The sequence below is a fragment of the Homo sapiens genome, chromosome 4 (genome assembly GCF_000001405.40).
Source record: "Homo sapiens chromosome 4, GRCh38.p14 Primary Assembly".
In the NCBI taxonomy this organism is placed as follows: Eukaryota; Metazoa; Chordata; class Mammalia; order Primates; family Hominidae; genus Homo; species Homo sapiens.
Genome location: NC_000004.12, coordinates 14,503,300 through 14,519,839, shown reverse-complemented (window position 1 = coordinate 14,519,839; position 16,540 = coordinate 14,503,300). Strand labels below are relative to the sequence as shown.

General features: G+C 35.5%; 2 long non-coding RNA genes and 1 pseudogene across 4 annotated transcripts in view; 2 read left to right on the top strand and 1 right to left on the bottom strand.

Annotated features, from left to right (window-relative positions):
• The window catches only part of LINC00504 (long intergenic non-protein coding RNA 504), a 417,705-nt gene that overhangs the window by 368,330 nt on the left and 32,835 nt on the right, over window positions 1–16,540 (top strand). The gene's annotated exons all lie outside the window — the stretch shown is intronic.
• LOC105374496 (uncharacterized) lies at window positions 1,327–6,250 on the bottom strand. 3 transcript variants are annotated; one of them, XR_925421.3, is made up of 3 exons: window positions 3,952–4,552; window positions 3,034–3,133; window positions 1,327–1,665 (listed from the first exon to the last, which is right to left on the bottom strand). It is a non-coding gene; the product is annotated as an uncharacterized LOC105374496 (long non-coding RNA). The 3 variants fall into 3 exon arrangements; XR_007058060.1 differs by having other exon boundaries at window positions 1,327–1,570; XR_007058059.1 differs by having other exon boundaries at window positions 3,034–6,250.
• Window positions 13,361–13,976, top strand: MTND2P31 (MT-ND2 pseudogene 31; annotated as a pseudogene).

The window sequence follows — 16,540 nt, the reverse complement described above, 5'->3', positions numbered from 1 at the left end:
TCTCTTTAAGATCCACCTGTGACTTATTTCTTCTTTGAGGCTAATAACAAAGAGTCTGTTAACCTAATTTTACAATACAAAATGAGAGAAGTTGGCACAGTGTAATTTTCTTTCAGAATAAAATCCTGAAGGGTAATTCTATTAAAGAAATCTCATACTTTTCAAAAGGTGGGAGGTCTGATCAGGTTTCAAGGCAGAAGAAACCCAGTCAGTTTAGAAGAAATTAAAAGGAACATGGGAGAAGTTGTTGTCATGGTCTGGAGTAAACTGCTCTAAGTCTACCTGGGTATCTATGATAACCAGGGCATTTTGCTCCAGAAGATGGTTCACCAATACACATGAGTAGCCACAGTGCCTTATGCAATACGTGCCCTTTTTGATGAACAAGTATTATTGCTAGCCAGTGAAGAACCATGTTTCCCCATGTGAACAACAGTTAACAGGTGTTTATAAACACATCTAAAAGCCCTAAAGCTGACCCTAGTAGTATTGTTAGTAGTTGTTGTAAGAAAAGGAGTGGGATTTCTGGTGAACCATAGAACACTTTAAAGAAGGCTAAAGACCTGAGGGCAATTTCAAGGAACTCATATTTCACTTCCAAGTCTCCTAGGACCAAAAATAATTCTCAGTCTATTTCAAGTTATTTCCTCCACTATTACTTCTCTGCAGTCTATAAAAACACTCTTTCCTCTCTCATCTAATATCCTGATTGGAAATGAATTATGTTTCAACGAATTAGATGAGGTTGGCATCTAGCTCATATGGCCTCACTCTTTCCTTAGGAAAGTCAGGGTCACATGAAACATCTGGCAGATGCCTTTGTAAGGGGGACTTTTAATATGTGATCATAGCAGCCATGAAGAGCTCTGTAAGGGAGATTATAAAATTTTGTCTCTCTTGATCATCGCCCCACAAGCTGCAAAGATTTTTCCATGCTAAACAAACCCTTTTTTTAAGCAAAAATAACCAATATAGCATTTCTTTTTCATGTCAAGGGTGCTGTAGAGATTGGGTTAAGCTTTCCAAAGAAAATGGATCATATATATTTTTTTTCCAGAGTAAAGGGGAGATGCTATAGCGACCACTAAATCTAGGATGAACTAAAGAGACCCTTTTATCCGATGGATTTATTTTACTAAGGAATAAAATAAGGCTCATGGACACTGTAGGATGGATACATCACCTATGTTGAAAGGTTTGAAAGTGATGTTTCAGATGTCATAATAAAAGTAACAAAATCATTTTTTATTTTTTGTATTTACCCTTAGAGTGTTTCATGATGCTGTTTTTCTCCTGGCACACTCTATACACACATACACATGCATATTACTTTTCAAATAAAAGTTTTATTTCTTATGCATTTGCTCAAAACAAATCCTTAAGACTTGAGTGTTTATTTCTAGAGAAAACATTGTCGCACTCCAACAGTCCTGTGGCTATGTTGCTTGTTTGCTTTACTGCCAAGTTAAAACGATGTCTCTAAAGCCTTCTCTTTCCCAGAGGCTCTCTCCTGGCTCTGTTCTCTTTGGTGAATGCCTTTTCTTGTGGCTTTCAGCATTCTCTGTTCACTCTAGCAGAGAGAGGGGCACTTTAAAACCATTTTAGTACAAAAACTTATTTCTTGCATGAATTCTGAGCTAAAAGTAGATCAATATGTCTTCTTTCCTAAATTAAAAAATAAATTAAACAGCATTACAATGGCATTCCCAGTATTCATCTCATAAACAATTCTCTCCCCTTCCTCACTGACCCACTTGGCCACATCCTGCCTGCCATCACTGAAGTTAGACTGATCAGTTGAACTAATACCATTATTCCAATTGTACATGTTAGAAAAAATAATGAAGATAACTAGCATCTATTGAGATTTCTTTATATGTCACATGAGTGTGGATGGGTAGGTGTTTTTCCCTACACATGGATGCATATTCAGTTGTTTCAACACCATGTATTGAAAAAAGTCTCATTCTTATTTCATTTTTCTACTTGATATTTTTGTCAACAACAAATTGACGATATACATTTCAGTTATTTCTGAAATTTTTTATTTAATCTTTTTATGGGGATGTCTTCTCAGCAATATATGTGTGTGCTGGGGTGTGGGTGGGGGTCTTTAATCTTCAGCACACAAACTGAATACAGAATTCTAACTTGAAAATATTTCATACACCAATTTAAAGCTATCTTATTATTTTTTCTGGCTTTCATAGTTTCTTATGACTGCTTATTTGTATTTTATGCAAATACAGATTATGTATCTGGCTTCTCATAAAATTTTATTTCTGTGAACAATTTTGTGCAATTTGATCACTATGAATTGGTATGATTTTCTTTGTATTTATCCCAGTTGAGGTTCATTGAGTTTCTCATAGAAGCATAGGTTTATAAATTCCATTAAATTAGGAAAATAGTTGGCTATTTATTTTAAAATAATTCTATTTCACATCCCCTTCTTTTCGAACTCCAGTTTTATTGTATATAAGGGTATTTGATATTATTCTATTGCTAACAGATGCCCTGTTGATATTTTAAAACCTTTTACTCTCCCTGTGGTCTTTTTAACATAATTTGTATTGCTATTTTTTCAAGTTTACTAATATTTTCTTCTGCCATGCCTGATCTCATATTAGTCCCTTCTTACTTTTTTAAATCCCACTATTTATTTCATACATTATATATTTTCATTTCTAGCAGTTGTATTTGGGTTTTTTTTTTTTTTTGGTGTTTTCTTGTTCCTCCCTCTTCTTTAATTAACATAATATAGTAACAAAACTTTATAGCTATTTAAAAATCTTTATCTCTGAATTCATGTTCTTCCTCAGTTCCTTGTCTGCTTCTATTGTTTTTTTTCTCCTTGTCGTGATTTACTTAATTTTGCTTCTTTACATGTCTAGTAATTTTGACTGGATTCTGGATATTGTGATATTTTGTTGTGAATTGTCTGAAATTTATTGTTTTTATTGTATGAGGATTGGGCTTTGTTCTGGCAGACTCTTAATTAGTTCCAGTTTAGTGTGATCTTTTTAGGCTTACCTTTAATCATTGTCAGAGCAGATCTACACTCGTCTTTATTCCGTAAGTTGTTTACTTTCACTGAAAAGGCCTGGTTCTTCTGGAGTCTCTCATGAATGTCCTGAGTAATCAGTGAATACTTGTTACTCAGGCTGGTCGACACCCAAACATTTTCTAGCACTGAATTGACTATGGAAACCACTTTGCTCACGGTTCCTCCATGCTGTTTGCCCTACTTCATGGAATCTTGCCCTTGGTGTCCAACAAGCAAGTATTTCTCTATAGATTTCTGGAGCTCTTTTTCTGTTTAACTCTTTTGTTTCTAAAACTGCAGCACTCAGCAACTTTGGTCTCCTTAAACTTTAAATTCTGTAACTTTAAATTCAGTGAGGCCCGAATGCTATGCTTGCCTTATTTCCTATTGCTCTGTGGTCCAAGGTGTGCCTCCAGTCAGAATGCCAGGTGATCTAAAGGACTACCTTGTTGTTTTCCTTCTCTGAGCAACCACAGAACCTTGCTGCCTATTGCAAAATGTCTGAAAATGATTGTTTTATATACTTTCTAGCAGAACATGTGAAATGAAAAAATTTGGACTGTGTTATTCTATTATGGCCAGAAAAGAGGTCCTATATGTTTCAACTTATCCTAATTGTGCTTAAAAACAATTTCATGATAATATTATTAGTGATCAATAAATTATAAGCACTCACTAATAAAATAGCAAGGATTGGATTAATATTCTAGTTGAATAGTTAATTGATATAATATCAGGTTTACTAAATAATTTAATTCAGCAGTCTTCTGAAAATAATTCAGTACACTAACAGATAACTTCCAGTTTCTAAATATTCAGATGGACTCAAATTAGCGAGATTCCTCATGAGTAAGAGACAGAGAGCAGAACATTTGGATACATTTATTGAGTTTAAAGAAACCAACCTTTTCATTCATCCAAACCTGATTTTTGATCAGAGCAGCATCAGGAACAATCACTTGGAAACATTTTTCAAAAGACGTATGATTCTTGAAGATAACATCCTTTTTGCAGATATATGCCAAAACTGAAAAATATTTTTCAAATTGCGTAACATCTTTGTATTTGATAGAAATAGTCATATATTGGGAGGAAAGAACTGAAGTGCTTAAAAAATCATCTTAGCTTTTCCTTTGTCTCATTCTGCTAGGAAAACAAAAATTAACAGGGATTGTACTTTAGGAAATAAGATTTTGCTTTCAACACACTCTTGTTAATTAGATCTAAACTATGTCACTATAGTATCTAGATTTGATGAACGAATATTATATATAGTGTGTGGTCATGGCAATGTCACAAATTACAAACTGAGTAATATTTTTCTTCCTTTACTTTCATAGAGCTTAGTGGTGTGTGATTGAGTCCCATTTACAGCATTAACCAGCTCAGTAATATTGAGACAATTATTTTACCTTTACTGTACATTAGTTTTCTCTTTTTTAAAGTTGTGTAAAAATGGTATATACCTCATAAACATGTTAATGCACTTACAACAGATTCTCATACATAGTAAATACTTAATACACACTGACGAACTTATTAGCATTAAGGGTAATAACTTCACCTCTGCTCCTTACCTCTCTTATTTTCTAGTCTCTTCTCCTAATCATTATTTTTCTTCAGTACCTTCTATTTCCTCCTTGCTTTAAGCTTCAGTATAAAGACATATGTAAATGAAATAAAGCAAAATATCTCCCTTGACCATATACCTCTCCGGCCATCAGCCCAGTCTCTCTCCTTTTCCATGGGATGTGATCATCACTCTATTATTTTGTATTTCTGCTTTCTTCCCATTCTCAACCTCACCTCCAGTTATTTACTCTTTAATCTGAAGTATTCAGATCTATCTTCTTAGAATCTAGTGTTCTTTTTTATTGTTGTTACTGTTGCTCAAAAGTTTTCTAATCTGTGAAATAGCCATGATAACATGTGAAGCTGGTCTTCTTATAAGTGGAGAAAATTAAATGAGATAACAGGGAAGCGTGAAAAGTTGTCCATTATCCATCCCTTTTACTTCTTCCAAGTACTTCCAGCACTGGTCCACACTTAACTTCCAGAAACCAATGCTGTGTCCCATCTCCATCTTTCTGTCTCTGCTGTTCTACCAGGAATCTTTTTGCCACGTTGGAGGAATGTCATATCCTCCAGGGAGGAATGTCATATCCTCCAGTAAGGTTTAATGTGTTAGATGTTTCTCCTCTATGTTTATCTATATTTTACTTGGCAGAATGTAATTTTCTAATTATGGATATGTTTTACCCTTTAACCAAGAGTAAGAATTTCAACTTATTTATCTTTATATTTTGAGTACTTTGCCTAGTTTCTGTAGGTCGTGTTTTAACCATTTATAATAAAGCCCTAATGTGTGTCTGAGTGTGTAGCATTTTCACAACCAAAATTATCTAACCTCAAAATATCTTCAAAAGATGAATTCTATCTTTCTGATAAAGAAACTGAATATGAAAGAATCTTGATAATTTTTTCAAAATGTAACTAACTTGAGAGCAGGAAGTGGATACAATGTTTAATTCTCACATTTTGCTTGTTCAGAGTTGTACAGGGACTATGACTGACAGGATGCTCATTGTCTAAGCAGGCCCCTGTGTTGTTTTCTATTCTTGCATTGGTCATTTCCTCCATTGTGATCCACCCAAGGTTAATGATATGTTTATTTTTGTGTTTGCTTAATCATCTCTTATCTCCAGCACTGGCTTTTAAGTTTGTTTCATCTATAACTTGATTAAAAGAGCACAACCTTTGTCCATTTTGTTCACTGATGGACCACCAGCACGTAGCAGGTTCTTAAGATTAAGGCAAACCTATTTGCCCATCTCCCTGAACTTTTTAGAATCATAACGTTATTTGTAGAAAGAATAGGAACATAATGCAAAGGGCATAGAACTTTAAGCTAGATTGAGCCCAGGTAGCTTTTCCACCAATTTCATCAATTACTCTGAGCAAAACACTGAATCCCACGTTTTTCTATAAAATGGTACTAACAAAGCCTGTTGGCATGGCTAGCTTGAGAAAATCATTCAAGTAATAAATGTAGGGGCAAGTTGTACTCATTCATGCTTGTGGTCCTAGCTACACAAGAGGCAGAGGCGAGCTGATGGCTTGAGTCCAAGAGTTCGAGACTGCGGTGAGCTTGCATCACAGCATTGCATTCCAGTGTGGGCAACAGAGGCTGTCAAAAACAAAACAAAACAAATAACAAAAAAATCACACCTAAGTAAATACTTCTTTAAAAAAAAGTAATATTAGGTTGGTGCAAAAGTAATTGTGGTTACACACCATGAATTTTAAATCATTATAACTAGGCTCAAACACATCTTCATTAATCAAAATAGGAACCATTACAATCAACATACTTTTGCTGATGAGAAATAAGTTTGTTTAATTCTTTAGGGTAAAAATCCATGCTCTGGGATTTGACAAACTCTTGGAAAGCATTTTCTGCACCCTGCTGGTTGTGGAAGCATTTTCCCTAAAAAAAAGTTGTCGAGATTCTTGAAGAGTGGTAGTCAGTTGGTGACAGGTCAGGTGAATATGACAGATGAAGCAAAACTACGTAGCCCAATTCATGCAACTTTTGAAGAAGAACTGATGTGCGGTCAGGTGTTGCCATGGAGAAGAATTGGGCCCTTTCTGTTGACCAATGTTGGCTTCAGGTGTTGCAGTTTTTGGTGCATCTCCTCGATTTGCTGAGCATACTTCTCAGATGTAATGGTTTCACCAGGATTCAGAAATCTGTAGTGGATCGGACTGGCAGCAGACCACCAAACAGTGACTATCACTTTTTTTTGGTGCAAGTTTAGCTTTAGAAAGGGCTTTGGGGCTTCTTCCCGGCCCAACCACTGAGTTGGTAGTCGCCAGTTGTTGTATAAAGTCCACTTTTTGCTGCACATCACAACTGGATGGAGAAATGGCTCTGTGTTGTGTAGAATAAAAAAAGATGACACTTCAAAGTGTTTTTTTTTTTTTTTTTTTTTTTTTAGTTTTGCTCAGTTCATGAGGCACCCACTTATAGAGCTTTTTCAAAACCTTTCCAATTTGCTTCAAATGCCGAACGACTGCAGAATGGTCATTGTTGAGTTCTTCGGCAACTTCTCGTGTAGTTGTAAGAGGATCAACTTCTGTGATTGCTCTCAATTGGTTGTTGTCAACTTCCGATGGCCGGCCACTCACTCCTCATCTTTGAGGCTGTTGTCTCCTTTGCAAAATGTCTTGAACCACCACTGCACCGTACATTTGTTAGCAGTTCCTGGGCCAAATGCGTTGTTGATGTGAGTTGTCTCAGCTGCTTCACTACCCATTTTGAACCAGAATAAGAAAATCGCTTGAATTTCCTTTTTGTCTAACATCATTTCCATAGTCTAAAATAAACATAAACAGCAAGTACTAAGTCATTCACAAAAAAACATAAAACAAGAAATGCCCATTAAAATGATATATAACATAACCACATTTGTTTAAGAATGTACAACAATATCAAATGGCAAATTCTAACAATGCAAAAATTGCAATTACTTTTGCACTCACCTAACTTTAATCAACCTGGGTTTCAGCAAATATGTTATTTCCATTTCTTCTCAGATGTCTCATTCATATATTACACTCAATGTGGAGAGAAATTTTATTTACTTTGTGAAAATAAGAATTGTTATTTTAAAGAATAACAGTGTTGATTAAATTTATCTGAAAGTTCTAGCCTTTAAGGTGAATTCATAAAATGAACATTTCCACAGCTCTCTCCTTGTCCTCTTGTGATAATTAGTAAAGAGAGGGAAATTAGAAAAAAAAATCCACTTGACCCAAATTTATAAATTGAAAGAAGTGCATTGCAAGGACATATGGTAATTCATTTAGCAAATATTAATGGGGCATCTATTATGTGCATAGTGCAGTAATAAATATTAGGTAAGTGCTTTCTATGTTCTATATTAGGTAAGTAATAAATATTCAGTAAATGCCTTCTGTGTTCTAGGTATTGGAAATATAAGCATTGACAAAGCGTACAAGTCCCTGTCTTCATTGAGCATATATGCTTTAGGGACTTAAAAGTACTTGACAAATCAGGCCGGGCGCGGTGGCTCACGCATGTAATCCCAGCACTTTGGGAGGCCGAGGCGGGTGGATCACGAAGTCAGGAGAGTGAGACCACGGTGAAACCCCGTCTCTACTAAAAATACAAAAAAAATTAGCCGGGCGTGGTGGCGGGCACCTGTAGTCCCAGCTACTCGGAGAGGCTGAGGCAGGAGAATGGCGTGAACCCGGGAGGCGGAGCTTGCAGTGAGCCGAGACTGCGCCACTGCACTCCAGCCTGGGTGACAGAGCGAGACTCCGTCTCAAAAAAAAAAAAAAAAAAAAAAAAGTGCTTGACAAATCATAAACTCTTCAACAAAAATTCAAGGTGCTGGAATAATTTTCCACAGCCATAGAAAAATAGTAACATTACAGCAAAAGTAGTAACATAAAGTAGTAACATTAATAGTCATTCATTTGCACCATATTTTTGAGAGGCCACTATGTAACAACATTGACCGGAATAGCATTTTTAATGAAACACAATTCCCCAACTAAGTAGCATTAGCTTCTCAATTTAGGTGTTCAGTCTGCACAGTCCAAATTCCAATGAGTTGATTTAATCTCTGGGATGGCTAGAATTAGATTTCCCAGACTCAAAGTATAATTCAGAATTATTTCAAACTAATAAGACTGTCAGTACTGATTTGAGACTTTTAAATTTTTTTAAGAGATGAGGGTTTGCTATGCCACCTGGGCTGGAATGCAGTGGTACCATCATAGCTTGCTGCAGCCTTTAACTCCCGGGCTCAAGCAATCTTCTTACCTCAGCCTCTAGAATAGCTGGGACTATAGGAGTGCACCACCACACACAGCTTACTGAGTTTATTTTAACAGAAAAAGTAAATTTTTGATATTGACCAAAGTCATGAAGTATAGTTCTCAAGACCTAAGTACTAATAATTATTGTCTAATGTGCTCCTGGTTTGGTGTTTAGGACTAAACCCAGATTGGGATTATTTATCAGTGAACTATAGAGAGATGTCCTCAGTTTAAACTTTAGGTAATTCTGCCATTGTAACAGACAGTTTTATCAATGAACAGTACAGTGATTTAACAATGGCTATACTAATTTGCTCACTGACATATCTCCACATTTGACCTATGAGCAAAATTTGGTCTCTACCATAGACAGTATAAGTCTTCTGGAAATAGGCCTTTTATTGAATTAATCATGTATCCTGTATTCTACACTCACACCAATTTTTGCATAACTTTATCATAAGTCTTATCCCATGGTATTATAATAATCTCTTGTCAATGTCTGTCATTCAAAACCTATCTCCACTACTTAGCATCTGTGCAATCTCTGTCTCCTGTAACATGGTGATAATATGTCTTTTACAGATTTGCAACCATGAAATGATGCATAAAGTGCCCAGCAGAATTATCACATAGCCATCTTTTTTATTATTGTTGTTTCACATAAAACTGGCTGTAGCTAAATTTTGTCATGACTGTCTCCAAATTGTAGATCTGCTCCCCTGCGTTTGACCATCATTTGTATTTAGCTAGGGCTGCATATGTGGTCACTTTTAAAATTCAATGATTCTTAACATAAACAGATGGAGCCAGCAATTTGGAACCACACTCACCTAAATTGTGAGAGCTTTCGGCGCTGGGCTATGTTTGCTTACCTTCAAATCTCAGTTTTAGATAATCCTGGCATATAGTTGATACTCAATATGTATTTATTAAGAGGATAAAATAAATATTTGCATATTATTACATGATAACAGATAAAATGCAACTCTAATAGCCATTTTGACTAATTTAAGGGTGATACATTTGAGAAACCAGGCTATTCTGGTAAACTGTTTATTACATATTAATTTACAGCTTACATAAGCCAGTTTATTCAACTGTAAATTTTACTGTATAGAACCAAATTCGAGATTTTTATTGTTTGTTTAGTTTCATTAGAAGTCAATGCTTGCTTATTATCATTAAAAAGTAATAACAGCTAAGTTAGTTTTTTTTAATTTATCAGAAAGAACCCCAGGCTGAGTGATGGAGCTGTTTGAAATCTACTGGTTTGCTGAGTGTTTCTTAGCAAGTTATTTGGAAATATAGAAATGCAGAGGGGAAATATAGATTTTGGATTTTGAAAAGCCAAGAAACAAATTTACCTAAGCGTGAGTTTCCTCATTTGTAAATGGCATTAGTGATTCCTTCTGTGTCAGGTTACTAAAAGGATTAAATAAAATAATGCATTGTAAAATGCAGTAGGTACTAAATAATTTATTCCTCTTTCTAAGAGTAATTGTCTGCATTTATACAACAGAGTTAATATTTCTATTGTAGCATTATTGGGTTTGAAGTGAAGTATCTGATGTGTCTTTTAAATTATAAATTGATATTGGAATGTCATTATTACATGTGAAATTATTAACAGAGCTGAAAATATTTTATTCCAAATATTCTAAAGACTTTAAGACATGTTTAAAAAATTTATTTTGACAAAAATAAATTTGTTGTAAAAAATTAAAATTAGACTCTGCCCTAATTTTAGAACCTACAGATTACATATTCTCACAGTAAAGATCTGTGCCTATCTATCTTTCACCAGATCGAATCACCATTTTTTGCTTTTAAGTCATATGCTGGTGTAGATTTTATTGATGAGCAAATGACACCTGAATTGCCCATAAGACATTCTTGAAAGCGCAGAGATATATTTTTCTTTCTTTTTTCTACTACAAGGATATTACTTAACCAATTATCCCTCTAGTGCCCAAATTAGTAGAAGCCTGAACAAATTACCACTTTTTTCAAAGCTTAGAATAGCAGTTTAGGTGCAGATGGCCTCTAGCATATTATATTACAGTTGCCTCTCATTTGTCCAACAACACTGGAAAATGTGCTATTTCCTAAGAGACAATTTTGCAAATAACTAAAAGCTGTCCTTTTAATAAAGCAACTACATTTGGTTAGTTATTGAAATGAAAACTTTATAAATAAACTTCATATTTCTCTACTTTTTAAACTAAAATCATATCCATTTTTGTGCTGTGCTATAATTTTAGATATCCTCATGGGTGTGAAGCATGAAAGCTTATTTTCTCTTGCACTAAATGACCCAATTGCAGTGCTTGAAATTATCATGTCCTTAACTTTACTTGTTTTGTTGACTCTTTCTGGAAGATCAGTTTTTGGCTTGTTCTGTTGTAGCATCTTTCTCTGTCCACATCTATCAACTGCTGTTAGTCTTGAAGATGGTTTGAAATAGGGTGGCTGGCTTCTGCTTGCCCCAGGCTTTCCTAGTTTTCGTTCTACAGTCCCCAACTCCTGTGGAACCCTTCAATTAGGGACATTAGGGGCAATTGGTCCCTCTACTTGCAAGCTGTCATCCTGCAACACTGACAGTCTAGCATGTTATACATCTTGGTAAAGAATGAGTGAATAGAATTTGAATATGAGCCTGATAACCTCCTTAAAAAATGTAATTAATAAATGTTGTCACATGGATTCTAACTCTAATTTTAAGGCCAGTGTTTGTTCTCTTAGGCATACTCGGCTTGGTTCTGGATAGCTGAGATTTTAGAATATAGCATACCTCTCCCTCTAGGTGGGGGACTATGAACCGGACTACCTTAACTAACTCTAGTTTAGTTCGATTCTACCCATTAATAAGAAATTGCTTGAAAGTCGCCAGATAGTGTCTCCACAGTGAAAACTGTGTTTAGGAGTTAAGAATGAAAATTAGTCTGCTGAAGCACTGGGAGTGGTGGCTCACATCTGTAATCTCATCACCTGGGGAGGCAGGAAGACTGCTTGAGGCCAGGAATTTGAGACCAGCCTGGGTGACAGAGTGAGACCTTGCATCTACAAAAAAAAAAAGTGACAGTCAAGCCCCCACTGGTGCCTTGCCCTCACTAATGTGCACACATCCTGCTGCACTGCCATCACTGATGACACATGTATATGAGAGCAAATCCCACTACCGCTGTCCATGTGAAGTACTTTGACCAGCATCCCCCATCACAGTGGTGTTGCAAATGGACTGGGAACACCTTGGGCCCTGCAGCACAGCAGGTCCTGAACCTTGAGGGGCCAGAGAACAAAGCCATGCACCTGATACCAGTCCCCCAGGGTGAGAGCATGCAGACCAGAAGTGATGAGCTAAGCCTTGTCCTGCTGAAGTTATCCAGAAAAAAGCCAGTTTACTAAACCCACCTTATGCCACAGTCAAGCCTCCAAGTGCATCAAAGAATATACAAGAAGAAAAAAAAAAACCTTATCTAAAGGAAAGCAACTTCAAAGATTAAATGAACACCAGCTTACACAGATGGGAAAGGACCAGTGTAAGAACTCTGACGACTCAAAGTCACAGTATTTTCCTACCTTCAAATTCAAATTACCACACTTAGTTTTCCAGAAATGGTTCTTAATTAGGCTGAAATAGCTGAAGTGACAGACATAGGATTCAGAATCTAGATAGGAATCAAGATCATTGAGATTCAGGAAAAAGTCAAAATCCAACCCAAGAAATCTAAGGAATCCAATAAAATAATACAAGAGCTGAAATACTAAACAGCCATTTTTAAAGAAAGAACAAAACTGTTCTGATAGAGCCAAATAACTCATTAAAATAATTTTATAATACAATTGGAAGTATCAATAGAAGAATAGACCAAGTTGAGGAAAGAATTCTTACAGCCTGAAGACCAGTTCTTCAAATCAACTCAGTCAGAAAATTAAAAAAAAAAACAGAAAGAATAAAAAATAATAAAACCTCCAAGAAATATAGGATTATGTAAAAAGACCAAACATATGATTCATTGGCATCCCTGAAAGAGAGGGAGAGAGAACAAGCAACTTGGAAAACATATTTGAAGATATTGTCCGTGAAAATGTTCTCAACCTCACTGAAGAGGTCAACATTCATTTTCAGGAAATGCAGAGAACTCCCGTGAGATACTATACAAGATGATTATCCTGAAGAAACATAGTCATCAGATTCTCCAAGGGCAAAGTGAAAGACAATATTAAATGTAGCTAGACAGAAGGGGGAGGTTGCTTACAGAGAGAACATCTTTAGGTTAACAGTAGACGTTTCAGCAGAAACCATACAAACCAGAAGAGATTGAGAGCCTATATTCAGCATTCTTTTAAAAAAGGAATTCCCAACTAAGAATTTCATATCCAGCCAAACTAAGCTTCATAGGCAAAAGAGGAAATGAGATCCTTTTCAGATAAGCAGATGCTATGGGAATTCATTACCACCAAAACCCCCATTCCACAGAGGCCACTATTAAATATTTCCTCGCACAAGCAACTGCATCCATAATCATCATAATAGCCATTCTCTCTAATAACCTGCTTTCCAGACAGTGAACCACAATCAACACCACTAACCAATATTCATCTTTAATAATAATAATAGCCCTTGTAATAAAATTAGGAATAGCCCCCTTCCACTTCTGAGTCCCAGAAGTTACTCAAGGAACCCCCGCTAATACCCAGCCTACTCCTCCTCACATGACAAAAACTAACCCCATTTCAATTACATATCAAATCTCCCCATTAGTAAACATAAATATTATTCTTACCCTTTCAATTTTATCTATCATGGCAGGCTGGACTTAATCAAACACAACTACGTAAAATCCTAGCATACTCCCCAATCACTCACATAGGCTGAATAATAGCAGTGCTAATATACAACCCAAATATTACCATTTTTAACCTAGCCATCTATTTTATTCTAACAACTACTGCATTCCTAGTACTCAACCTAAACTCAAGCACTACAACCCTATTACTATCTCACACCTGAAACAACTTAACCTGATTAACACCCCTGATCCCATCTATTCTACTATCACTGGGGAAAGACCTGCCTTATAAAATGTTTTAAAGGAGTGCTAAACATGGAAATAAAAAACTGTTACTGGCCACCACAAAAACACACTTAAGTATATAGATCATTGACACTATGATCAGCTATACAATAAAATCTGCATAGCAACCAGCTAACAACATGATGACAGGATCAAATCTGCACATATCAATATTAACCTTAAACATAACTGGGCTAAATGCCCCACTTAAAAGGCACACATAGTGGTCAAATGGAGAAAGGAGCAAGACCCAGCTGTATTCTGTCTTCAAGAGATTATCTCACATGCAATGACATTGATAGGCTTAAAGTAAATGGATGGAGATAAATCTACCAAGCAAATGGAAAACAAAAAAAAAAAAAGAACAGGGGTTGCTATACTAATTTCAGACAAAACAGACTTTAAATCAACAGTGTAAGAAGACAAGGAAGAGCATTACATAATGATAAAAAGTACAATATGTATGAATATGTATGCACCCAACACTGGATTACCCAAGTTGATTAAACAAGATCTTAAAGACTACAAAGAGACTTAGATAAACACACAACAATATTGGGAGACTTCAAGACCTCATTGACAGTATTAGACAGATTACTGAGTCAGAAAACTAACAATGATATTAAAGACCTGAACTCGGCACTTGACCAAATGGATCTAACAGGCATCTACAGAACACTCCACTCGACAACAACGAAATATACATTCTTTTCATCTGCATATGGCACATACTCTAAAATTAACCATACAATCTGTCATAAAACAATTCGCAACAAATTCATAAAAACCAAACTCATACCAACCACACTGTCAGATCACAGCATAATAAAAATAGAAATCAATACTAAGAAAATCTCACTAAACCATATAATTACATGAAAATTAAACAACCTGCTTCTGAATGACCTTTGGGTAAACAAGTTAAGGGAGAAATTAACAAATTATTTGAAAGTAATGAAAACAGTGATAAAACATACCAGAATTTCAGGGGCACAGCTAAAGCAGTGTTAAGAAGAAATTTTATAGCACCAAATGCCCACATCAAAAAGTTAGAAGGATTTCAAATTAAGAATCTAACATTAAGCCTAGAGAAAATAGAAAAAAAAAAGAGCAAACACATCCTAAAGCTAGCAGAAGAAAATAAATCACCAAAATCAGAGTGAAATGGAGTTGTGAAAAACCATACAAAAGGTCACCAAAACCAAAAGTCAGTATGTTAAAAGAATAAATAAGATTTATACAGCACTAGCTAGGCTAACAAAGGAAAAAAGAGAGAACATCCAAAGAAACACAATCAGAAAAGTCAAAGGGAACATTACCACCAATGCCAAAGAAATACAAAAAATCCTCAGAGACTATTATGAACACCTCTATGCATACAAACTAGAAAACCTACAATAAATAGATAAAATGTAGAAAACTTACAACCTCTCAAGATTGCACCAGGAAAAAATGAAACCATGAACAGACCAACAATGAGTTCTGAAACCGAATCAAAAATAAAAAGCCTACCAACCAGAAAAAGCCCAGGACCAGAAAAATTCACATCTGAATTCTACCAGATGTCCTAAGTAAAGCTGGTATCAATTCTACTGCAACTATTACAAAAAATTGAAGAGGAGAAACTCGTCCCTAACTCAGCATAATTCTGATACCAAAACCTAGCAGAGACAAAACAAAAAAGAAAGAAAAAAGAAAAAAAACTTCAGGTCAATATCCCTGATAAACATAGATGCAAAAATCATCAGCAATATACTAGCAAAATGAATCCAGCAACACATCAAAAAGCTAATCCACCATGATCAAGTAGGCTTTATTACTGGGATACAAGATTGGTTCAATATACACACGTCAATAAATGTGATTCATCACATCAACAGAATTAAAAACAAAAATCATACGATCATCTCAATACATGAGGAAAACACGTTGGATAAGGCTCAACATCCCTTCATGTTGAAAATCATCAAAAAACTAGGAATTGAAGGAACATAGCTCAAAATAATAAGAGCCATCTATATTGATAAGTTATGTAGGAATACAGCTAACCAGAAAGGTGAAATATCTCTACAGTGAGAATTAAAGTACACTACTGAAAGAAATCAGAGATGACATAAACAAATGGAAAAACTTTCCATGTTCATGGATAGAAAGAATCAAAACTCACACTCAACTTTGTACTAAACTGGCAAAAGCCCAAAGTGTTCCCCTTGAGGACCAAAACAAGACTCTCTGTACTCTTATTCACCATTGTACTGGAAGTCCTGGTCAGAGCAATCAGGCAAAATAAAGAAATAAAAGGCATCCAAATAAGAAGAGAGGAAGTCAAACTATCTCTCTTTGCTGATTATATGATTTTATACTTAGAAAACTCCATACTGTCTTCTCCAAAGCTCCTAGATCTGATAAACAACTTCAGCAAACTTTCAGGATACAAAATACATGTACAAGAATCAGTAGCATTTCTACACACCTATAAGTATAGCTAACCAGGGAGGTGAAAGATCTGTACAATGAGAATTACAAAACACTGTTGAAAGAAATCAGAGATGACACAAACAAATGA